The sequence below is a fragment of the Homo sapiens genome, chromosome 9, assembly GCF_000001405.40.
Source record: "Homo sapiens chromosome 9, GRCh38.p14 Primary Assembly".
NCBI lineage: Eukaryota > Metazoa > Chordata > Mammalia > Primates > Hominidae > Homo > Homo sapiens.
Genome location: NC_000009.12, coordinates 113,348,326 through 113,372,553, shown reverse-complemented (window position 1 = coordinate 113,372,553; position 24,228 = coordinate 113,348,326). Strand labels below are relative to the sequence as shown.

The window sequence follows — 24,228 nt, the reverse complement described above, 5'->3', positions numbered from 1 at the left end:
TTAGGAGGCTGAGGCAGGAGGATCACTTGAGCCCAGAGTTCGAGACTAGCCTGGGCAACATGGTGAAACCCCATCTCTTCAAAAAATGTAAAAACTAGCCTGGTGTGCTGGCACACACATTTAATCCCAGCCACTCGGAAGACTGAGGCAGGAGGATCGCTTGAGCCCACAAGTTCTGTTACAGTAAGCTACGTGCCACTGCACTTCAGCCTGGGCAACAGAGTGAAACCCTGTCTCTAAAAACAAAACAACAAAAAGTTCTCCTGCCTCCCCACCTTCCCACACCGTTCTACTTGGTATTTGCTGGACATCTGTGTTCCTTGCCCAGTGCCAGAGGATACCACACATTAAAAACACAGGCTGGCAGTGTGTTCTGGTGCCAGCAGCTAGGGAGGGCTCTAGAATGGATGCTGAATTCAGTAGTGGCATTGGGGGTGGCTTTAGATGAGCAGGGGGATGAGGAGGACATTGCTGCAGCAGGCCGATGAACTGTGGAATGAAGGCTGCTGTGAGGAGCTGGGTTGGTGGATTGGGAGAAAATGGCATGGGGGCCTTCAGGTGCCAAGAAAAGCCTTGGCTTTGACCCAGATTTTTGAGCAGGGGCTGTGCCCAGGCAAAGGCAGGGAAGATCTCTTTGGGACTTGACCAAACCCCTTTTGGTCTGTTTTCCTTGGGACTGGCACCAAGGCCAGGCAACAGTAATTTCGTTGTTTTTTTTTTTTTTGAGATGGAGTCTCGCTCTGTTGCCCAGGCTAGAGTGCAGTGTTGCGATCTCGGCTCACTGCAACCTCCGCCTCCCAGGTTCAAGCAATTCTCCTGCCTCAGTATCCCGAGTGGCTGAGATCACAGGTGTGCACCATTATGCCCAGCTAATTTTTTGTATTTTTAGTAGAGATGGGGTTTCACCACATTGGCCAGGCTGGTCTCAAACTCCTGACCTCAGGTGATCCACCTGCCTCAGCATCCCTTTGAGACTCTGTCTCAAAAAAAAAATTAATAAACAGTGGTTTTCAAACTGCTCTGCAGCTCCCAAAGAAAGTGGGGAGGGCTCTGCCTTTCATCTTCTTTGGACGCAGGAGCCTAAAGTTGTAGGTAAGATTACTTTTGAAGAGAGTTCCTGGACAAAAGTTTGAAGACCACTGTTCTAGGGTGAACTCCTCATGGAGACAAACATAAAGGGACTTGCCTTGGGTCTTGGTAATGTCTCCAGGCTCTTTCCGCTACACTGAGCTGCGACCCACTTATTTCCGAGAATGCAATAAGGGTATGAAGACAGGCCAGCGTACAGTATACACCCAATTATCAACAAAGAACATGGAATAAATCTTCAATGCTTTTAAGACCTTTAATAATGCCCACGTGCCCTAAGGTTGGCCCTCTTAACTCCCTCAGCTCTTTCTGGCTTTAAGCCATCACCCCAGGTGTGCAGTTTATGTCAGAGGGGGCCATCAGGTAGGGAAACTTATCAGCTGCTCTAAGAGAAAAGGCCGTCCCTGCTATTATCAGTGGGCACAGGCTGGAGCTCAGCCAGCAGGGGCTACAGTCGGGTTACCTGGAGACATGATCCCCTGGTCCTCTGAGGGCCTAGGCAGGACATGGGGGAGGACACGGTCCCCCGGGACAGAGTCCTCTGGCCAGGAGCAGCCTTTCAGGTTGCTCTTGTGTGCTAGAAAAAAATATTTTCTCTATGTGCCATGTCATGAAAAAGACAAAAGCACTGAGTTAATGGGATGTGGAAACTTTAGCCACAGGCTTCTCTGCCTGTGAAGAGAGCATTTCTGCATGTGAACAGCTGGAGCAGGAGGCTGAATGGCAGTGCTTCTCCAGAGACCACAACATCCACCCAGTCACCTGTCCACCTACATTCACCTATCCATCTATCCATCCACTCACCTGCCAAATATTTATTGCATGCTCACTATGCACCAGGCACCATGCTAGATGCCAGAGACAAAGTGAAGACACCCTCAGAGGGGCAGATGCATGGTGGATTTGGGAGACTAAGGCCCAGGGAGTAGTAGGTTCCCCACAGGTACCCAGCACTCAAAGCAGCAATCTCCAACCCTTTGAATGCAAGGACTTTTTTGCTTATCTGTGGTGGCAGATATCACAAAAATTATACACAGACTTTTTTTTTTTTTTTAGCTCATCAGCTATCGTTAGTGTATTTTATGTGGCCCAAGAAAATTCTTCTTCAAATGTGGCCCAGGGAAGCCAAAAGTTTGGACACCTGTGATTTACAGGTTATGCCTAGATCTGAAACAGATCCCCATCCCTCCTAAAGCTGCCCACTGGTTATGGGCCCTGTTTCTCTTAGAAACACCACACACATCATTTGGGAAAAGCACACTGAGTAGAAACATGGCCTGAAAGGGTGGTGGGCGGTGGACCTGGCTTCCTGTGGCCAGAGGTCAGCGGACGATAGAAATGGTCTGATCGGCCACAGCAAAGACTGGGAAGAGGGGCCCCGGGAAGGACACATGATGGGCACAGAGCACTGTGCCGGAGGCTGGCTCATAGAAGAGCAGCTCCTGAACCTGCAAGTCCAGCACTACACCCAGCTGGGCTGGGCCCCGCAGCAGCCCCAGGGGCTCGTGCTGCCCATTGTGTGAGAAACGAAACTCCTGATCATAGCGAGAGAAGACCCAGGAGAAGGCATTGTGGCCCAGACGGCAGTCACTGCCAGAACCCTTGCGGGGCAGGTGGCCTGAAGCCACGCCCACCTTATAGGCACAACTGTTCTGGACATTCACCATCCAGGCATGGAGCCCATTCTGGAAGGAGGTGGCAGCCAGGGCATTGGGCCAGTGGTCGAAGCGCTCCGGGCCATCTGCACAGGCCTTTGACTTCTTGGTGCTGAAGGTCAGGGTCTTTCGATCATCTGACAATTGCAGGAAGGGGCTGACTGTCCTCTCATCGATCCGTATGTCCTCTGTGCCTGCCAGAAAGAATTCTCAGAGTTGCCGAGGGCCCACCCCTGCCCTAACCTGGTCCTGCCAGGTAGCAAAAGGTTCCTCACCACTCACTAGCATGGTGACCTCATATAAGCCATTTACTCTCTCTGAGCCTTGTCTGCAAAACGGGGGTCAAAATAGGACTTCTCACTGGGTGATCACGAGAATTAAACAGAATCATACATGTAAAGTGCCCAGCATGTAAGTGCTCTATAAACTGTAGCCTTCATAACAATAGTTACTATCAGTCAAGACCCTCAACTGTAAACTCTGATAGAAATAAGGCCCAGAGAGAAAAAGGGAGTTGCCCAAGTTTACACACTGACTTGGTGGGAGGGGCAAAATGAAGACAAAACATTTTGTTCCTATACGTAGCACTGATTATACTCTTTCTACTTGGTCATATCTGTGGCCTCCAGATTGGACGTGTCCTAGAAACACAGCCTCTGGGAGCTAGGAAGCATGAGATAAGCAATTTCTAGCAAATATCTAAACTGCTGGTAAATCAGGCATCATTTGATACCAGAATCTAGAGTAGAGAAGCTACAGCTTCTACCAAAATTGTAAGGATAATACGAGGAGGGAGGATTAAAACTGAAAAAAAAAAAAAATCAGTCTATTAACCTAACTGTTCCACGAATTGTGAAAGACTACCATTGGGAGAATGGAAGCTTCCATCTAACTTGGAGGAGGCCTGCTCTGGAGAACCTCTGTGCTAAATGGGAATTCCTGGAGGCAGAAGACCATGTCAGTTTACCTCTGTGGCCCCAGCATGTGGCACAGGGTGGGGCCCACAGTTGGCCTGAGTCAGTGTGTGTAAAGTGAATAAGTGAGGCAAATCAGGCAGTTTGATTCTTGGTCCAGATGTTCTTCAGTTGGCCATCAATTTTATCTTCTTAAAGAGAAACCCCAGGTTTCCAATAAATAATACTGGGCTGCCCTAGTAGGTCAGGATATAAGGAAGACATGACTTATAGGAATGAGATTTATCTTTGACCCAACCACAGAACATGTTAGTCCGGAAATGGGAAGGACTTGGCCCAGCTGCCCCAGGCCTGTCTGGAACCTTGACCCTACTGACCAGCCTGCATCCAGCATGACTTGTTTAAGCTATCATCTCAGAAGCACGGGTCCCCATTGTGAACCAGGAGTGAACCCCAGACAGACAGACAGAAGCCCAGTTGTCCTAATGGTCCTGGGCTCTACTGCTCCTAACCTGAGAGAGACCCAAGAACCGCCGTTGCCCAGAGTTGGGTCAGTAGTGGGCTCCGAGTGCACTTCTCATTAAAGTTTAACATTTCCGACTCCTGGGGATCCAAAATGCCCTCTGCTTCTTCGGTCCTTATATGGGGAAAAACAGAGACAGAGATTCAGGATGGTTCTGGAAATATATCTGGATCAATATGGGGTGAAGAGAAGAACAGAAGTAAAATCTCCTATCAGGCGATACCAAGATTGGCAGCTAGGGCCAGGTGCAGTGGCTCACCCCTGTGACCCTAGCACTTTGGAAGGCCTGATGTGGGAGAGGATCACTTGAGCCCAGGAGTTTGAGACCAGCATGGGCAACATAATAAGACTCCATCTCTACAAAAAATTTAAAAATTAGCTGGGTGTGGTGGCATGCACCTGTAGTCCCAGCTACCTGGGAGGCTGAGGTGGGAAGATTGCTTAAGCCCAGGAGTTCGAGGCTGCAGTGAGCCAAGATCATGCCACTGCACTCCAGCCTGGGTGACAGAGTGAGACCCTGTCTCAAAAAAAAAAAAAAGAGTGGCATCCAGGCCCCACACAGGTGCTTGGGCCAAAAGGGAAGGTGGCCATTTCCCCTGTGCCCCCCAGAAGCCTTAATTTTAGCAAAGCTGGTGGACAGTTTATAGGAAGATGTGTTCTTGGTGCCAGTATTAGAAATTGAAGGTGGTGTGCTCTGCAGAGGAAGCAACTTGCCAGAGTCCCTCAGTAAGTTAATGGCAGAGCTGGGGCTAAGACCTCCTGGGCCTCTGGAACCCCTGCACGATAGTCTTTCTACTCCAACATCTTGCCCTTGCCTGGAAAATATCTCACCTCCCTCTCAGACCTGTTGGGGCAGTCATGTTTCCCTGGGTTTTGTCAGAAGGTACAGCCACTCCTCTACTTTAAAAATGCAAACACCTGAGGGGTCCACAGAGGAAAGGGCCATCAGTTATCACCCCAGCCACAAATGAATCATGGCACTGTGTGCTCTCAATAACTCTCCCCTCAGCTCACAATGGGGGCTGGGTTTTGCTGGAGAGGTATTTTGGGACAATATGATGCCTAGGAGTTGAAAACTGCCATGTATCAGCAGTGAGGGCCTGGGTTTGCTGTTTTCTCTACAGAATCATACCTCAACTTTGCTATAACCTGGGAGGTAGTGGTTATCTGATTTAACAGGACAGAACAGATTCAGAGCTAAAAAGGGGAGCTAGATTCAAGTCATGCCTCCATGCAAAAATAGAACAAAACTGGGATGAAGCCCAGGCAGCATTCAACATAATTTTTTCCTTGACCTGAAGTGAAATCTCAAAGGAATATAGGGCAAAGTAGGGGTTTACCATGGAGCTTTGCAGCCTTTTGACCTAGGTGCTGAGAAAGACCTTTCCTACTGCCTCCAATCCTGAAGATGGCGTTGAGATCAGGCAGTGGTTCCGAGTACACACACTCTCTCCCCATATCTCATGGCTCTGTGCATAAATGGAGTGGGCACAGGGGTGGGGCATGTGCCCTGATGGCTCTTTGCAAGACTGTCACTGTTCTGTCTTGGGAGGTATAAGGTGAACAGAACCTTAGAAATGCTGGGAGCAAGCTCTAGTAACAAAGGCTCTTTGTGGTCAGGACAACAGAGGGTCTATTGCCATCTTCTCAGAACGCAGGAGCTCCCGCCAACAGGTGGGGAAGAAAGAGGAGCTGATGTCAGCGGTGCTAAGCTGTCATCCCAGGGCAAATGTGAGGCTGAACATAGTGAAGTCTACAGCGAACCACCCGGGCTAGCTGCCCTATGGTACCGAAGACAAAACTCATGGCCCCAAAGGGGTGGAAATGAAAAAGGGCCTGAACACAGCAGGCCCTGGCCAGGATCAGAATGCCCAGATGGTGCGGCAGGATCTGCTGCAGTGTCCAGTCAGAGTTGAGCCCAGCTACAAGCGTGGAAACACCAGAGCCAACAAGGCACTTCTCAGATAAGTGAGTTTCCGGCTAGATGGGGCTTCACAACTTTTGAACACTACTTTGAGAGTATATTCGCTCAGCCTGGGGGCATAAAGAACTACAGACAAATCTGGAACTCTATGGATAGGCCTTTCAATAGTAGTATGGGCTTAGCAATGCTCGGACAACTTTGTATGTATTGTAGGACTGAGCAAATACTGATGTTGTTGGGGGCTGGAGTCCTCACTGTAAAATAACAAAAGGTACAAATGTAGAAAGGGAGAGGGCAAAGGAAAAACCTTGAGGTGTTACATTGGAATTAGAATCTGTGATACAGGCTGGGCATGGTGGCTTATGCCTGTAATCCCAGCACTTTGGGAGACTGAGGTGGAAGGATCACTTGAGGTCAAGAGTTCGAGACCAGCCTGGCTAATATGGTGAAACCTTGTCTCCACTAAAATTACAAAAATTAGCTGGGTGTGGTGACACATGCCTGTAATCCCAGCTACTTGGCAGGCTGAGGCAGGAGAATCGCTTGGACCCAGGAGGTGGAAGTTGCAGTGAGGCAAGATTGCGCCACTGCACTCCAGCCTAAGTGACAGAGTAAGACTCCATCTCAAAAAAAAAAAAAAAAAAAAGAAGCTGTGACACAAACTCATGCATCAAACAGCTACACACACACACACACACTCTCTCTCTCTCTCTCTTTCTCTTTCTCCCTTCCTAGTTCCATCTGCTATATGCTGAGTGAGCTGAGTGAGGCCTAGAAGCAAGGTCACTGAGTACCCTTAATGCTCAGATCTTGGTTTCTAAATATCATTCTCCACTAAAAACAACCAGGTGCCCTGGAGAAGCAGCTGATTCAGGGGCAGGAAAAGCACAAGTTGAGCTGGGGTTTTCTTCTTGTGCTTCTTGTGAAAGAGAGCAAGAAAGTGCTCAAAGAATGATGGGAACTTTTCAAAAGGACACAGGGTCCAGCTTGAAAGGGCTTCTACAGGCCAAATCTGGGACAGTCTGAATGTCAAAATTAGTAATAACAGTGACAGATTATAATGCACTGAATAAAATAAGAATCCATCAGTCTGTATTAATATTGAATAAGGGAACAAACAAGCAAATAAAAGGAATAATTCAGGCAGGAGTGACCAATGGATGCTAAAACTATTGGGAGAAAGTCTGAAGGGACACAGGATATATATGCAGAAAGTGTCTCCTCACAGACTGCTTATTAATTATAAAAGGAAAAGCATAACTTTATAATGAGGAAACCTGGCAGACATCCAAGTGCTCAAAATTGACATCCTTGATAACGGACAAAGGGACATCATGTGCCCCCAGATATGATGAACTGAAGACAGATCACTTATGAAGTATTCCTGCTAAAAATGTATAACTTGAATCTAATCATAAGATAACATCAGATAAACCCAACTGAAGGAGATCCTATAAAACTGGCCTTGACTCTTTAAAAATGTTAAAAAAAAAAAAAAAAACAAGCTAAGGAATAATTCTAGACTTAAAAAGACAGCTGAATTAGGAAAACAAAATAAAACACTATTAAGAACTTTTGCACAATTGGCAACAGTTGGATATGGACTGTGTATTAGATTATAGTATTATATCAATGTTAAATTTCCTTAATTTACACTGGGGTGATGTAAGGGAATGTCTTTGTTTCTAGGAGAAACATGCTGAAGTATCTTGAAAGAAAAATTCATGTTTTCTGGAATTTACCCTCAAATATACCATAAAAAAATAAGTTTCTAACATATATACTAGATAGATAAATAGGAAGACAGAGAGAACGAGCGACAATGAATGTGGCAAAATGTCAACAATTGATATTTTCTACGTGAAGCTCGTTATACTACCTTTGCAACTTTTTTCTAAGTTTGAAATCATTTGAATAAATGAATCATTTGAATAAAAAATTAAAGATCAATTAAAAAATCAGATCAGCTTGATATTAAGGACACACTGTATTAAAGGAAGATGACAAAGATAAAGGAGATAGAGAAGATGGGCAGAAGTGTGAAAAGATTGTACAAGGGGAGAAGTGGGAACAAGCCAAGCATGCGTTAGGAGACAGTAAAATAAATATGATCCGTCTACACTGCAATATTTCACAAACTTTCAAAAAAGTGACGTGAATGTAAATGTACTGATGTGGAAAGATGTCCCAGATAGCCTAACAAGTTTCACAACAACAGGTATAAAATGATCCTATCTGTGTTTTGATTTTTTTGTTTTTTTTGAGACAGGGTTTCACTCCCATCACCCAGTCTGGAGTGCAGTGGCAGGCTCTCAGCTCACTATAACCTCCGCCTCCTGGGCTCAAGTGATCCTCTTGCCTCAGCTTCCCCAGTAACTGAGATTACAGGGGTACGCTACCGCACCTAGCTAATTTTTGTATTTTTAATAGGTTTCTTTCGCCATATTGGCCAGGCTGGTTGTGAACTCCTGACCTCAAGCGATCTGCCTGCCTAGGCCTCCCTAAGTGATGGGATTACAGGCGTGAGTCATCACGCCCAGCTTTTTTTTTTTTTTTTTTTTTTTTTTTTTTTGAGGTGGAGTCTCACTCTGTCACCCAGGCTGGAGTGCAGTGGCGCATCTCAGCTCACTGCAACCTCCGCCTCCTGGGTTCAAGAGATTCTCCTGCCTCAGCCTCCTGAGTAGCTGGGACTACAGGCACACACCACCACACCTAATTTTTGTATTTTTAGTAGAGACAGGATTTCACTATCTTGGCCCAGGCTGGTTTTGAACTCCTGACCTCAAGTGATCCACCTTCCTCGGCCTCCCAAAGTGCTGGGATTATAGGCATGAGCCACCGGGCCTAAAAAACATTTTTAAGACAACAACCAAAAAACCGCCACATACCCTCCTATGACTATATATAAGTCCACAAATGCACATCTGTTCAAACCCATCACTGTCAGGGAATAGGATTGGGAAAGGGTAATGCAGACTCATTTTTCTTTTTCTTTTTTCTTTTTCTTTGAGACAGGGTCTTACTCTGTTGCCCAGGCTGAGTGCAGTGGTGTGAGCACAGCTCACTGTAGCCTCAACCACCCAGGTTCAAGTGATGCTCCTGTCTCAGCCTTCTGAGAAGCTGGGACTATAGGCTCTCAGCACGAAGCATGGCTAATTTTTTTTTTGTAGATATCAGGTCTTATTGTATTGCCCAGGCTGGTCTCAAACTCCTAGCTTCAAGCTACCATCCTGCCTTGGCCTCCCAAAGTGCTGGAATTACAGGTGTAAGACACCATGCCCAGCAAGATTCATTTTTCATTTTAAATGGCTTTATATTGGTGGATTTTTTTTCTCTCATGCACATGTATTACTATTGAAACTTCAATATAAAAATAAATAATTTATACCCATTGAAATACAGAAAAATAAGTAAATAAATAAGAAGAATGGACTGTGTTCCCTAAGTATAACTCTGAAATTTCACACAGAAGGTTTGTGAATTACTCTGCCTGGCAAATTATGTCCTCTTGGCCACTTCCTCAGGCCCTCAGCTCTTTTAGAACTCAGGCAGGACCTGGTGAAATTCTTTTATTACTGAAGAGCTAAAATGCAAAATCTGAATGGTAATGCAGACTTAAGTTTCAAAGATTCCTCCATCAGGGAAAGGAGAAGTGAGGCAGAGGCAACAGTACCGGGGCAGGTGTTAGATGGGTCCAACCCCTGGTTCCAGGCTTAGGGAGATCCCTTCCCCTTTTAGAATCTCAACATTTTCATCTGCACATGGAGGTGGTAAAACCCTCCAACAGGGTGACTACCTTTTTACAGAGGAAGTTTAAGAAAGCAGTGGCAAGCCTTGGATTACTAAGTATTCCACTGCCTTTCCATGTGTTTTAAAGCAGTTCTCTAAGCCAAGGGCAGAGACATTCCCTGTCCACAGAGCCAGGCTCCAGAAAAGCCACTCAGCTGCACACCCTGTGCATTCTCCCAAGAGCAGCAGGGCTGAAGGCAGTGGAGTGTGAAGAGGTCTAAGGGTCTCCAAGACTACCCAGTCAAATCACGGGGTCTATACTCACCTCTCGAAAATCTCTTGCTCCTTCTGCTGTGAGAAAAGAAAACAAAGTCAAGCTTGGCACCAGATACCCAGCAGGGAGTCAATGCTAAGACAGATTTAACTACCAGAAAGGGCTCCATGTGGACTCTAGAATAAAAACTTCTAGTCTTTAAGACCAGCATAAAGCTTTCTAGGCTATTCTACACACACACACACACACACACACACACACACACACACACCCATAACACATGCTCAGAATGAATCACTCTACCCCATGTCCCAGGGCATCCTGGATTCCCCTCAACTCCACTCAGGACCATCGCCTGTTCACCCAACAGCATCTCCCATGAAGACTGTTAGCTCCTGGACGGCTGCGACTCTTTCTGAGTCTTCTATTGTGACTGTCCCAGTGTCTGTGAAAGAGCATGCTCTGTCCATGGATGCTGTGACTAAATGAATGCACAGTTTCGAGCAGTCATAGAAACTGCCCTACTTGCAGAGGCAGTGGGACAGCTCAGGTGTTCCACATTCTCTTTCCTCTGCTTGTGACTCAGATGCCACCTTCTCCCCTCAAAACTGCAGGCAGCTGCCTATCTATATAAAATACTTTGAAAGGCTATGTACCAAATATGAATCATGGTGATTTCTGGGTGGTAGGATTAAGGATGAGCTCTGTGTTTTCATATCGAAGACCTTGTCAGCTCCCCGGAGCACAGTGTTCTCTCTACATGCTCCTGAACTCTTTCCACCTCCTCACTTCCTTTGACACAGCTAGTTTTCTTATCTTTCAGGCATCAGCTTCTAAGTCGCTTCATCCGGGAACCTTCCCTGACCCCTCTTTCCCCTAGCCTGGATTGTCCGTCCCTAGCATGGGTGAGTTCCTCTACCATAGCACATATCCTTCCATATCCTAATTGTCAGCCAGTGTATTTGTCTCCTTTGTAAGGCTGGGAGCAGCTGACAGCTGCATCTCGTTACTCTGCCCCATAGCACAGTGCTTCACATATAATAGGCACTCAGTATACAATGACTCACTATCAAAAGAAAACTATTATCAGTGCCAAAGAAACATAGTTTTATTCCCTTGCCTCATGTCAGAGAAGAAATTATTCAATGATACCTGTTAGAGCACAGTAAGGCAGACTTTATTCAAGACCTCATTGCAATGGGGTCTTGCAATGGGAGAGAGACTGGGTTCAACTCTGAATACAGCGTGGGCAGGTAGGAATTTATAGCTAAGGAGCAGGGTTGGGGGTTAGTGGATGGAAAATTACTAAGAGGAAACATTGGGGGTAAGGGGGATTATGGCTAAACCTACCTAACAGGATTCTTGCTGCAGACAGAACACAGTGATCAGACATCACCTAGGGGATGGTGGTGGATGAGGAACCTGATCAGATATCAAGGATGATCAGATATCAAGGATGGGGGTTTCTGGCTACACTGACTTAGCAGGGTTATTTTGCAAAAACTGGATTTTATAATGAAGTGCACAGATGGGCCTGGGAGAAGGCTCAGAAGCCTGACTAAAGTTTGGCCAAGCAAAGAATCTTTGTCACTCATCCCTGCTCCAAATTCTCATTTCCACCCTCCTCATACCGACAAACATTCTCGATATTTTCAGGCTTTTGGGGAGCCTGGCCAACTGGTCATGCCCTCACCCTTGCCTGACTTACAATCAGCTGGAGGTCATCCAGGTGAGTAAGCATGCCCACCAGGCCAGTGCGGATGGTGTCAAGTTTCTGCAGCGCCTCGGCCCAGTGCACCCGCTGTGTCAGGATGCTCTGGTGGGCCCGCTCCTCTTCGCCATGCACCTGTTCCAGTAACCGCTGCTCCTCGCTCTCGCAAAGACTCCTCACCAGACTCAACCGCTGGATAACCAGTTCCCTCGCTGCACTGGCCATGCTCTAATGAGGGATAAAATGAGGAGTTGGGTGGTCTGTGCAAAGCCCCGGTCAGGATTTAAGAGGGTTTAGGCTCAGTGGAAAGGAGTGTTGAGATTGATTAGCAATGTCTGCCACGGGCTTAGTAATGGAAATAATAGCATGTAAGCCTTTTACTTTGACATCTCTGCCCCAAGACTTCCCAAATATGGTTTAGGGTAAAGAAATTTGAGATGCAGACACATAGGCCATATCTCAGGGAGCCATGATCACATAATGGAAGACCTGGGCAGGACTTAGAGCCCAACTAGAATACTCTGCTTAATCACAGTTGGGAATACAAGGTCAAAGGATCAAGGTCAGAGAATCACAGAATTGCAGAGCAGAGGGCCTAAAAAGTCATCCCCATCAGCAGGATCCATACCAGCAGTGGTACAGTTGATATTTCACCATGTTTGAGGGAAAAAACTGATGACTTCCTAAAACTGTCCATTTCAACTGGTTATGTGGTAGAATTTTTATCTGCCACAGAAGAGGCCTGAAATCAATTCTCAGACAATTAACAGGTGTCTTCTTGTAATTCTTAGCACAGTGCCTGGCATGCAGTAGGTACTCAAATATTGACTGAATGGGAAATTTTTTTTTTTAAATTTTTTTTAATAGAGATGGAGTTTCACCATGTTGCCCAAGCTGGTCTCAAACTCCTAGGCTCAATAAATAAGCCCAACTCAGCCCCACAAAGCGCTGGGATTATAGGCATGAGCCACTGTGCCCACCCAGGAAATTTTTTCTGACTTAGTAAAAGATCTCTTCATAGTGCTCACATGGCAATTCAGTAGCAAAGCTGAGACTCGAACCCAATTCTCTTGACTCTCAGTCCAGTCCCATTCCCCTACACCAGATGCCACCTGGCAACCAATCCTTCCCAAAGGCACCTGTTGCATAAGGCAGCTGCACTTGTACTCTTGCCAGACAAGTGGGAATAGAACTGCCTCCTTCATGTCAGAAAGTCAGGGACAGCCAGCAGCTTTCCCTATGCCCTGTCCCTTAAGACCTGCTTTGTACAGTGCACAGGGCAATCATTCCTATTTTACAGAAAACACTGAGACCCACAGTTTGCCTTACAGGGAGGAGAGACTAGCTAAGTGAATGGCAAGTGAACCCAGAAGGTAAGACTCCAAGTTTATAGTGTGCTCTTGAGGCAACATAACATAGTGGTCAGGAAATTAAGCTTTAGAGGTAGTGTGTAGATTTAAATCTTAACTGCTCCGCTCATTAGCTGTGGAACTTAGAACATATTCCTTATCTTCCCTATGCCTCTATTTTCTAATCTGTAAAATGAGGATAATAATAGTACCTACCTCATAAGGCTATAGTGAGGGTTAAATGTGTTAATATATATAAAGTAAGTAGAACAAAGCCTGCTACATTATGTGTTCAATAACATTCATTCACTATTGCTCTTCTTTATCTTTTTTTTTTCTTTTCTTTTCTTTTCTTTAAGAGACACAGTCTTGCTCTGATGCCCAGGCTGAAATGCAGTGGCACAATCATAGCTCACTGCAGCTTTGAACTCCTGGGCTCAAGCGATCCTCCTGCCTCAGTCTTCCAAAGTGCTGGGATTACAGTCATGAGCAACTGCATCCAGCCCACGATTATTCTCCTGTTTATCCCACTTTAATGCCTTACCCACAGGGTGAGCCCCTGAAACCATGGTTGTACTGTGTGATCCTGGATCAAAACAGATCCTCACCCAAGATGAATCAGATTCTGATTCCTGCCTAAAAGACTCTAGTCATTCTCAACAAGTTTGTTGAGCCATTCCCAGAAAAGGAGAGCAAAGAAAAGAAAAACTTCCCTTTCCAAACACATGACAGAGAGTAGACAAACCAAAAACCCTCTCAGAATAAAGTAGAGAAATGCTGGAAAAATAGCCCAAGCATCCTTTTAAAAGTGTGGTTGTGGCTGGACACGGTGGCTCATACCTGTAATCCCAGCACTTTGGGAGGCTGAGGCAGGTGGATCACCCAAGGTCAGGAGTTTAAGACCAACCTGGCCAATAAGGTGAAACCCCGCCTCTACTAAAATACAAAAATTAGCTGGGCCTGGTGGTGGGAGCCTGTAATCCCAGTTACTCAGGAGGCTGAGGCAGGAGAATTGCTTGAAGCTGGGAGGTGGAGGCTGCAGTGAGCTGAGATCGCACCACTGCACTCCAGCCTGGGTGACAGGGCAAGACTCTGTCTCAAAAAAGAAAAAAAAAGAGGTTTTTATTTTTTGTTTTTTGAGACAGGGTCTCGCTCTGTCACCCAGGCTAGAATGCAGTGATGCAATCATAGCTCACTGCAGCCTCAAACTCCTAGGCTCAAGTGATCCTCTCACCTCACCCTCCCAAATAGTTGGGACTATAGGCCCATGCCATCATGTCTGGATAATTTTTTAATTTTTTGTAGAGATAGGGTCTTGCTATATTGCCCAAAACAGTCTCGAACTCCTGGGTTCAAGTGATCCTCCTGGCCTTGGCCTCCCAAAGTGCTGGGATTATAGGCATGAGCTACCATGCTCAGCCCAATGAATAAGCTTAATAGAGATATATATATATATATATATATATATATATATATATATATATATATATATATATATAGAACTCTACAGGCCAGGCACAGTACCGGGTCATGCTGGTAATCCAAGCAGTTTGGGAGGCCAAGGCAGCAGGATCACTTGAGCCCAGGAGTTCAAGGCTGCAGTGAGCTATGATTGCGCCACTGCATTTCAGCCTGGGCAATGGAGTGAGACTTTGTCTAAAAAAAGAGAAAGAAATAATAATGAAATTAAGACAAAGATACAAAAGAGTAGACCAAAAATACTAGAAGCTGGTTCTAAAGACTAACAGTCAAACCTGTGGCAACTTTGATCAAAACTAAGAACAACTTTATCTTAAGTAAACCCTTAAGAAAAAAGAGTTCTGTTTTCCAATCCATTGAATAAGGCTCACATAACCTTGATACCAAATCTGATGAGGACTGTACAAGAAATGAAATTCATAGACTAATCTCACTCCTGAGCATACAAGCAAAAATCCTAAAACAAAAATAAAAAATGCTTTACTGAGATTAGCAATCCAAATTCAGAAATTTTGTATTAATAATACAAGGGGATAGGAAAGGGTACATGTGGCTATAAAAGGGTAGCACAAGGAGTCCTAGTGATGGAACTGTTCTGTATTTTAATTGTGGTAGTAATCACATGAATCTATGCCTGTGATAAGATAGTTAAATAAATATACACCATTTGAGAGCAGTGATCTCTCCCACCTCCTTGGAACCCATGCTGGGACACTCTGCTCTCTTAGTTTACTTCCGTTTCATTAGCTGATTTCTTGGTCCCCGTTCGCTGGTTCCTTCTGTCTTCTCAATAGGAGGTGAAGTGCCCTAGGGCTCAGTCTTTGGACCGCTGCTCTTTCGTGTCTACACTCATTCACTTAGTGATGTCATCCTCTCCCACGGCTTTCAATACTATTTATACACTGATAAATCCCAAATTTATATCTCCAACCCAGCCCTCTCCCAACTCATATATGCAGCTACCTACTCAGCACCTTCACTTGGATGTCAAATAGGTATCTCAAACATAACATGCCCACAACAACTTAGCATGCCTGCTCTCCCCCACTCCCCTCCCTGCCTCCGCCAACCATCACTCCACATGCAGTCCTTCCCCCACCCAGTTCATGGCTGCTCCATCCTGCCAGTTGCTCAAATAAAAAAACTTCAGCATTATCCTGACACCTCCCCTCTTTCTTTCATAGCCTACATCTAGTCCATCAGCAAATCCTGTTGCCTCTTCAAAATATATGCAGAATCTAGCCACTTCTCACTAGCTTTGCCACCATTGCTTGGGTCCAGACCACACTTGTTTCCCACCTGGATTATTACAATGGCTTCCTAACTGGTCTCCCTGCTTTAACCTTTGCCGCCTATAATCACTTCTAAACATAGCAGCCAAAGTGTTTCTTTCTTTTTTTTTTGAGACAGAGTCTCGCACTGTTGCCCAGGCTGCAGTGCAGTGCGCAGTCTCAGCTCACTGCAACCTCCGCCTCCCGGGTTCAAGTGATTCTCCTGCCTCAGCCTCCCAAGTAGCTGAGAATACAGGCGCCCGCCACCATGCCCTGCTAATTTTTTTGTATTTTTAGTAGAGACGGGGTTTCACCGCGTTAGCCAGGATGGTCTGGAACTCCTGACCTCGTGATCCACCCGCCTCAGCCTCCTAAAGTGCTGGGATTACAGGCATGAGCCACTGCGCCCAGCCTCAACCTTCTTAATGAAGTCATTCCTGGTCACAGCACATGTAATTGCAACCCGTCCTATTCCCCTTTCTGTTTTATATTTCCCCATAGCACATATCACCTTCGGACATAACATAGATTTTGTTACTGTCCCTCTTCTGTGACAAGAATGTAGGCTTCATGAAAATAGGAATTTCTGTTTTGTTCACTGGAGAATGCCTAACCCATTGAACAACAGTATCTGGCACATGGTAGGTGCTCAATAAAGATTTGTTAAATAAATAACTGGTGAAATATTGGTAGCTTTCCTCTTAAAGTCAGGATTTGTCGGGCCAGGCACAGTGGCTCACGCCTGTAATCCCAGCACTTTGGGAGGCCGAGGTGGGCAGATCACCTAAGGTCAGGAGTTCAAGAACAGCCTGGCCAACATGGTGAAACTCCATCTCTACTAAAAATACAAAAAATTAGCTGGGTGTCGTGGTGGGCGCTTGTAATCCCAGCTACACGGGAGGCTGAAGCAGGAGAATCGCTCGAACCCAGGAGACGGAGGTTTCAGTGAGCCGAGATCGCGCCATTGCACTCCAGTCTGAGCAACAAGAGTGAAACTCTGTCTCAAAAAAAAAAAAAAGCCAGGATTTGCCACACTAGCTTCTATTTAACACAGTACTAAGGTCATAACCAGTGCAGTAAGACAAGAAAATAAAAAGGATAAAGAAGAAGAGGGGAAGAGGGCAGGGGAGGGAGATGGAGACCATCATGCAAAAGCAAAGCATAGATGGGCACCAAGTAGCTGCCTGGACTCCTAGCAGCTTTCTGGTTCCTGGTCTAGCCCCTTTTAGGTCCTAAGAGGACCCCTAGTGTCCTGTCAGGAAATGCCCCATTTTGCTTATACTTGTTCAACTGGGTTCTGTTCCATGCAATTAAAAGAACTCTGACTAATGTGGTACCAAGTCTGTTCCGTGTACTATAGGGAAAGGAGGGAGGGGATATGCAGAAAGAAATTCATAGGCTCTGCCCCTGATAGGCATACTTGAAAGTGATGACACAGCAGTGGTAATGAGTCCACTGAATAAAAAAATCTGCAGTGGAGGCCAGGCATGGCGGCTCACACCTGTAATCCTAGTACTTTGGAAGGCCAAGGAGGGAGGTTGGCTTAAGCCCAGGAGTTCGAGACCAGCCTGGTCAATATGGTAAAACCCCGTCTCTACTAAAAATTTACAAAGTTAGCCACTCATGGTGGCAGGCATCTGTAATCCCAGCACTTTGGGAGGCTGAGGCAGGAGAATTGCTTGAACCAGGGGTTACTGTGGGCCAAGATCACACCACTGCACTCCAGCCTGGGCAACAGAGTGAGGCCCCATCTCAAAAAGAAAAAAAATTAAAAAAAAGAATCAGCAGTGGGATGCAGCAGAAGGAGCACTAGCCTAGGAGACAGAAGATCCAGGTCACAGAACCGACTGCCAGGAGGCTATGGGGTCCTTGGACAGGTCAGTTAACCTCTTTAACCTCTATAAGGACCCATTTTCCTATTTGTAAATGGGGATGTTACTGCTATCTACTTCATAAGATTGTCACAGAGAATATTCAATGTAAAAGTCCTAGGTTATTTTATAATTCTGCAGCTGGGCAGAAAATGACCAGATGGTAGAAGAATACGACCCTTCTTGATCCCCTATGCCAAGATACCCAAGAAAGTCATTTGCTAGCAGAGTCTTTGCACCAAGTATGGTACAGGAACAAGCCCACCCTGCCCAGATGGTAAAATTGAGTCTCTGAGGGATGAGAAGCTTTGCTAGTAGCACAATGAGTCTGTGAGGTTGGTAAGGGACCCTAGACTTGCCCAAGTCCCTAAGTCTAAGGCCTTATCCTGGGAGGGGGCTGAGTAGAGAGGAAAGAAGAGGAATTACCACTGCTCTTTGATTCTTCCCCGGCAGGACGTCCGCCACATACTTGGTGATGGCAGCACTCTGTAACTGCAGCCTCTCACACTGGTCCACAATCTTGTTCTGCAACACAAACAACGCTTGTGGCATCTTGGTCCATGTACCTGAGCCATTCACTCCATCCCAGTGATTTTCTCCTGTTACCACATGTCAGCCACCCACTCCCATGGTCATAGCCCAGATCTCATCATTATCAAAAACTGTACCACCTCCTAAATCTCCATTTCAAGGATCCACACTCTCCCCACCATGCCCTATCCTTCTCACTCCCTAATTCTAGGATACCTATTCCAGCAACAGCTCAGTTGAGGCCACCAACACACTAGTGGGACTACCTTTCACTGTCCATCATCCCCTTCTGTGACCTCACCTCCGTCTTCATCCCAGAACCCCAGCCTATCATTATAATAACTTTAAAACAAATTTTTGCTCTATGAATATTCTCAGGCTATATTATTTAGAAACATTTAAGATTAGAATCATTATATGTTGCTGGTGAACTGCACATTCTCTAAGTGACTTTATCTTTAGTACTATGTTTGCCTTAAAGTCCATTTTGTCTTGTGTTTATTTTTATTTTTTTTTATTTATTTATTTTTTGAGGCAGAGTCTCACTCGGTTGCCCAGGCTGGAGTGCAGTGGTGCGATCTCGGCTCACTGCAACTTCCACCTCCCAGGTTCAAGCGATTCTCCTGCTTCAGCCTCCCAAGTAGCTGGGATTACAGGTGTGTGTCACCACACCCAGCTAATTTTTGTATTTTTAGTAGAGACAGGGTTTCACCATGTTGGCCAGGCTGGTTTCGAACTCCAGACCTCAGGTGATCTGCCCGCCCTGACCTCTCAAAGTGCTGGGATTACAGGTGTGAGCCACCGCACCCAGGCGTTTGTTTCTTTTTAAATTTATTTATGTATTTATTTTGAGATAGAGTCTTGCTTGTCGTCCAGGCTGAGTGCAGTGGCATGATCAAGACTCACTGCAGCCTTGACCTTCCAGGCTCAAGTGATCCTCCCATGTCCTTCCTGAGTAGCTAGAACTACAGGCACGTGCCACCACACCTGGCTACTTTTTGCATTTTTTGTAGAGATGGACTTTTGCCATGTTGCATAGGTTGGTCTCCAACTCCTGGGCTCAAGCAATCCTCCCGCCTCAGCCCCCCAAAGTGCTGGGATGTTACAGGTGTGAGCCACCACGCTCAGCCCGTTATAACCACTTTCTGGCGCACACACTCTTGGTCCTCCGTCATACTCAGCTGCCTGACTGTCCATACCTTCTGTTCTGTCCAGAACTGCTCTCTGCCAAGTTATCCTCATTCATTAAGCAGCACCATCAATCATTCACCTGTTACCCAGACCAAAAACCCAGGAGTTTGTCTCCAACCCCACATCAATTCCATTAGTGAGTCCTATCAACCCCATCTCCAAAGTCTCTCTCTCTCCTCTGGTCACCTCTACTCCAGTTATTCTATCCAGGTTGCCATGATCTCTCACAGGAACCACTGTTAGAACCTCTTAACTGGGTACCCTGCACCCCCAACCCCCCAGCTAGCCAGAGCCACCTTTTGTAAGGAAATCAGACCAGGTCATGCCCCTACTCAAAACCCTCCAATGGCTTTCAGTACACTCACAATGACATCAGGCTTCTTAGCTTAGCCAACCTAGCCCCACCTGATGTGACTCAGCTTATTTCTCCAACATCACTTTCTACCTCTATCCATGCTGGCCTTCTTTCTGTTCCTTAAATGTACCAAACTTGTCCTGACTTCAGTGCCTTTGCACCTGCAGTTCCGTTTCCACCAGTCTGTGTGTGTGTGTGTGTGTGTGTCTCACTCCCCAACTGCATTCAGATGTCATCTCTTCAGAGAGGTCTTCCCTGACCATCTCCCTCCTCACCCAATCTCTTACTTTGCTTTATTTTTCTCCCTTGCACTTATAACTCTCTGACTATATATTATGTGTTTGTTTACCTTTTTGGGTATCTGTCTCCCCCACCACTGGAACAGAAGCACCATAAGTCTGACTTCTCTATGTCCTAGTACCTCAAAGAGAGTTTCTGAACATAGAAGGCCCTGAATAAATATTTGTTGAATGAACGAACACCCACTGCCTTGACCACAAGAGGTTCAGCAGTTCATGGCTCTCAAAGCTATGAGCATCATCCATGAGCTCAGGGGAGTTTTAGAAATGGGAAAGCTGGCCGGGCACGGTGGCTCACACCTGTAATCCCAACACTTTGGGAGGCTGAGGTGGGCGGATCACCTGAGATCAGGAGTTCGAGACCAGCCTGGCCAACGTGGTGAAACCCCATCTCTACCAAAAAATACAAAAATTAGCCAGGCGTAGTGGCATGCGCCTGTAGTCCCAGCTACTCGGGAGGCTGAGGTGGGAGAATCTCTTGAATCTAGGAAGCAGAGGTTGCAGTGAGCTGAAATAGCACCACTGCACTCCACACTCCAGCCTGGGTGACAGAGTGAGACTGTCTCAAAAATAAATAAATATAAGTAAATAAATTTTAAAAAAAAAGGAAAGAGAAAGAAACGGGAAAGCTGAGGCCCAAAGAGAAGTGACTTCCCCAAGAAGGTATGGGCCAGGGCCCTGCTTTTGCTCTCCGTTTCTCCAGGTGATACCTAGAGCCTATCCAAGCAGCAGTCCCTCCACTGTTCCCCCTAAGAGTTCTGCCTCAGTTCCATCTGCCAAAAGGCAACTTAGCTACCTCTTCCAGGAAGCCCTTGTAAATCTTTCCACCCAGAAGTAGAAATTAGTTACATTTCATAGGTCCAAATACAAAGTTACAGAATTGAGTTGACTAGGAGGAAGCTGTGATCACCATGCACCATGGACTAAGAGCACTGAGAAGGCTTCTGAAAAACCACAGGGCAGGAATCCAGAGGTAGGAGAGCAGTAGAACTGGTGCTGGTTTTGGTAATAATCTTGCCCTAGGGTGAGATTTATTTGCTGACTGGATGGATAGAGGAAGGAATGTGCAAAAGACAGAAATCTACTCTAATTTGGTGGAAGAGAGGGTAAGACCCACCTCCCTTCAGGCAAAGGAGATAAATATGCATACGGCCTCAGAGGGGTTCAAAGAAGGTTCCCTAGGGTAGTACCGAAACTAGCACCAGGCCTGCCACCTGCCCGAGGCTTCACTCTTTCCACCACTCAAATCCAGTCCTGATAGCTACTTTTAAGGTTTCCATGACATTCTCACCCCCATTAGCATCACTTCCTCCCTCCAACCGCCGAAGCAAAGCAGCAGTTTCCTCTTGCCTAGTCAATGACTCCCTGGGTCCCACCCCTGAACATTAGGAAGCTTGGAGGAGTTACTGCCTTGTTCCGAGCCTCCAGTGCCTCATCTGTAAAATGTAGGTAGGACCCCTTCAAAGGCGTGGTCAAGACAGAATGAGATGACAGACATTTAAGTACTTTGGAGTTTGCAAATTTTTTTGTCCATTATGCAAGTTGATTACACCGCGTTATCCAGGTTTATTTTTGTCATCATTATTGTTGATAGAGGTAACAGGTAGGACGAACCAGGAGCTTTTGGGTGTTGCTGAAAAACTGAACCCCTCCCGAGCCCAGCACCCTATATAAGATGTGTTTATTACAGGTCACTCTGGGTAGGCGAAGTCCCCAGCCAGAGCCCTCAGGCTTCACAGCAGGGGTGAACTGCAGAGTCGGGTTGGGAGAAACAAGCTGTTTAATCAAATTGCAAGGAAATCCCCAGGGGCCACAGAGAAGCCCAAGGTGACTTCGACTCTCCCAATCTCAGCAGCTCAGGAGAATGGTGATGACAAGGAGGTGGCCACCCTGGAGCCGAGCTGGAAGTGGAGGTGGCGAGAAAGCCTGGGTGAAGGGGAATCCCCTGATATTCTCCCTACCCCCACCGTTTATCCAGCTGAAGCCCTTAAACCAGCCTGAAGTACAGTCAAGGCCAATCCTGAAAGCGAAAAAGAGATCACCGCACCAGAAGCCAGAAGGGGTTAGGAGCAGGGGGAAGAGGCGAAAGGAGGAGGGGGGCTTTGAGTCCAGGGGTTAAGGGATACGGTCGCGCTGGATTTTATCAGTGTCAGTTTCCACAGGGGCGGGAGCTGGGGCACACCCTGCGCTGAGAACTGGAGCAGCTGAGCCTTTCATGCCAGCCCCAGCTTCCTCAACAGAGCAATGGAAGGGGCCTGGGGAGCCTGGATCCCCTTATCGCTAAGCATTTTACCCACTATCTTATTTATTTCTCACAACTCTAATAAATACGCGCTATTATTATTGTTGTTGTCCCCAAACTACAGATGAAGACACTGAGGCTCAGAGTTACGTGACTCACAGGGAGTAGATTCGAACTCAGGCCAGCCTGACTTCAGAGGCCACACCCTTAACCGCCTAGTCCTACAGCCAAAGCCACCGAGGAGCCTAGGCTCCGGGGCCGGGTGTCGAGTCCGCCCAGCCCCAGGCTCCCCAGTCCCTGCCGGGTCCCGCCAGGCGCGCCCGGGGTCTCCGGAGCCCTCGCCTTCCGGCGCCCACACCCGCTCACCCGCAGCTCCTCGGCGCGCTCCTCCGCCCGGCGGATGCGGTGCCCCCGGCAGCGACCGCCCAACCCCGCGCAGGCGGCGCACACGGGCCGTCGCTCGGAGCCGCAGAACCAGCTCAGAGCCTGGCCGTGTTCGGGGCAGAGTGGCCCCGGCCCGGGCCCGGACCCGGACCCCGGCCCCGGCTCCGCGCCCTCGGCGGACATGGCCGTGCGCCCGCCCCGTGCGCTCCACCTGTCGCAGGTGGCGGCGGGCGGGGCCTGGCTGACCCCGCCCCCGGCCCTCCCGGTGCGCCAGCGCGCCCCGCAGCTGCGCCTCCTCCCACCCAACCCGCGCTCCCATCCCGCCCGGGGCAGCAGGTCTCTTTAAATTCCTTGTTGAATGAAATCGCGATTGTATGCGTATTTGTTCTACAACAAACATAAAACTCCAAATATTACTGTGACCGTAGGAAACTTTATTGAGCACTTATTAAGTGCCAGGCTTTCGCTGAGAGCTTTGCAAGCGTTCTGTTATGTAATCCCGACCACTGCCCTTTTTGAGAGGCAGCTTTAGATGCCTAGCTTCAAGCAAGGCTCTGCTGAGAAACTGCCTGGTTCAAATCCCGTTTGGCTGCTCACTGGGTGGGAACTCCAGCTGTAAAATGGGGTGAGAGTACCTGCCTCCCAGACGTCTGAGGAGTAAATACGCTAAATACGTAAAACAATATCTGGAACATAGCAGCTGCAATCGCTAAGTGTCTACTAACAGTGCGAGGAAAGTACTATTAGGATCCCATTTTTATGGAAGTTAAGTGGCTTGCCAAGGGTCACAGTTACTAATTGGTAGCTATGAGATTGGAACCTAGGCAGTGTGACTTAAGGTTACTATAATTAATAATTTTTTAAATTGAACATTGAGGCCCAGTGAGAAATATCTGTATTAGGCTGATTTTCCCAAAGTATTTACATCCAAACTTTTTGAATTTGAATATTTGAGTTTTCTTTTTAAACTAGCATTGAAAAAAAGTAATGCCTTTTTATTTCGAAGAAAACAAAATATGCAAATAAGCATGTGGAAGAAAAATCCACCCACTCCCACCCCAGAAAGAAAAACTGCTAACATGTTCCTGAGCTGTTTAGGGCTTTTCCCACCCTCAGGATCTTATATATTAGTCTGAGCCCAGATTGAGCCCTCTGCTGGGGATCCAGTCTAGTCTGTCTGGGCATACAAGGAGAACGCTGCTCTCCAGCTCTAAATTCTTCTTCTTCTTTTTTTTTTTTATTTTTTTTTATTTTTTTGAGATAGGGTCTCACTGTGTCACCCTGGCTGGAGTGCAGTGGTGTAATCATAGCTCACTGCAGCCTCGACCTCCCCAGCTCAAGTGATCCTCCCACCTCAGCCTCCTGAGTAGCTGGGACTACAGGCACATGCCACCGTGCCCAGCTAAGTTTTGTATTTTTCGTAGAGACAGGGTTTTG

General features: G+C 46.9%; 1 protein-coding gene across 4 annotated transcripts, besides 5 other annotated features; it reads right to left on the bottom strand.

The window, feature by feature from the left end:
• Window positions 1-1,331: 1,331 nt before the first annotated feature.
• Window positions 1,332-23,013, bottom strand: BSPRY (B-box and SPRY domain containing). Of its 4 annotated transcripts, none has more exons than NM_001317943.2 (6): window positions 22,774-23,013; window positions 18,216-18,314; window positions 11,802-12,047; window positions 10,160-10,185; window positions 4,171-4,295; window positions 1,332-2,938 (listed from the first exon to the last, which is right to left on the bottom strand). In NM_001317943.2, the coding sequence occupies exons 1-6, from the start codon at window positions 22,972-22,974 to the stop codon at window positions 2,412-2,414; spliced, it is 1,224 nt and encodes a 407-aa protein (NP_001304872.1). In that variant the 5' UTR covers window positions 22,975-23,013; the 3' UTR covers window positions 1,332-2,411. The 4 variants fall into 4 exon arrangements, with proteins under 4 accessions (NP_001304872.1, NP_060158.2, XP_006717212.1 ...); NM_017688.3 differs by having other exon boundaries at window positions 11,817-12,047; XM_006717149.4 differs by having other exon boundaries at window positions 10,160-10,182; window positions 11,817-12,047.
• Window positions 2,135-2,635: an enhancer, noted in NCBI's record as "H3K4me1 hESC enhancer chr9:116132199-116132699 (GRCh37/hg19 assembly coordinates)". NCBI's record gives its function as "activates a minimal SCP1, AML or CMV promoter by ChIP-STARR-seq in primed H9 embryonic stem cells {active_cell/tissue: H9 hESC(primed)}" and the evidence as "EXISTENCE:reporter gene assay evidence [ECO:0000049][PMID:30033119]".
• Window positions 2,636-3,136: an enhancer, noted in NCBI's record as "H3K4me1 hESC enhancer chr9:116131698-116132198 (GRCh37/hg19 assembly coordinates)". NCBI's record gives its function as "activates a minimal SCP1, AML or CMV promoter by ChIP-STARR-seq in naive and primed H9 embryonic stem cells {active_cell/tissue: H9 hESC(naive and primed)}" and the evidence as "EXISTENCE:reporter gene assay evidence [ECO:0000049][PMID:30033119]".
• Window positions 19,989-20,038: a silencer, noted in NCBI's record as "silent region_20201". NCBI's record gives its function as "represses an Ori minimal core promoter by ATAC-STARR-seq in GM12878 lymphoblastoid cells {active_cell/tissue: GM12878}" and the evidence as "EXISTENCE:reporter gene assay evidence [ECO:0000049][PMID:35858748]".
• Window positions 22,666-22,945: a silencer, noted in NCBI's record as "silent region_20200". NCBI's record gives its function as "represses an Ori minimal core promoter by ATAC-STARR-seq in GM12878 lymphoblastoid cells {active_cell/tissue: GM12878}" and the evidence as "EXISTENCE:reporter gene assay evidence [ECO:0000049][PMID:35858748]".
• Window positions 22,976-23,045: a silencer, noted in NCBI's record as "silent region_20199". NCBI's record gives its function as "represses an Ori minimal core promoter by ATAC-STARR-seq in GM12878 lymphoblastoid cells {active_cell/tissue: GM12878}" and the evidence as "EXISTENCE:reporter gene assay evidence [ECO:0000049][PMID:35858748]".

Bases quoted from the DNA above. Each gene is read 5' to 3' on its own strand.
- BSPRY (NM_001317943.2), bottom strand. From the start codon at position 22,974: ATGTCCGCCGAGGGCGCGGAGCCGGGGCCGGGGTCCGGGTCCGGGCCC. The intron at 12,048-18,215 runs GTAATTCCTCTT...ATCCCTCATTAG, and splicing joins GGAAGAATCAAAGAGCAGTG to AGCATGGCCAGTGCAGCGAG. The intron at 2,939-4,170 runs GTTAGGAGCAGT...TCTTTCTGGCAG, and splicing joins GGTTCTTGGGTCTCTCTCAG to GCACAGAGGACATACGGATC.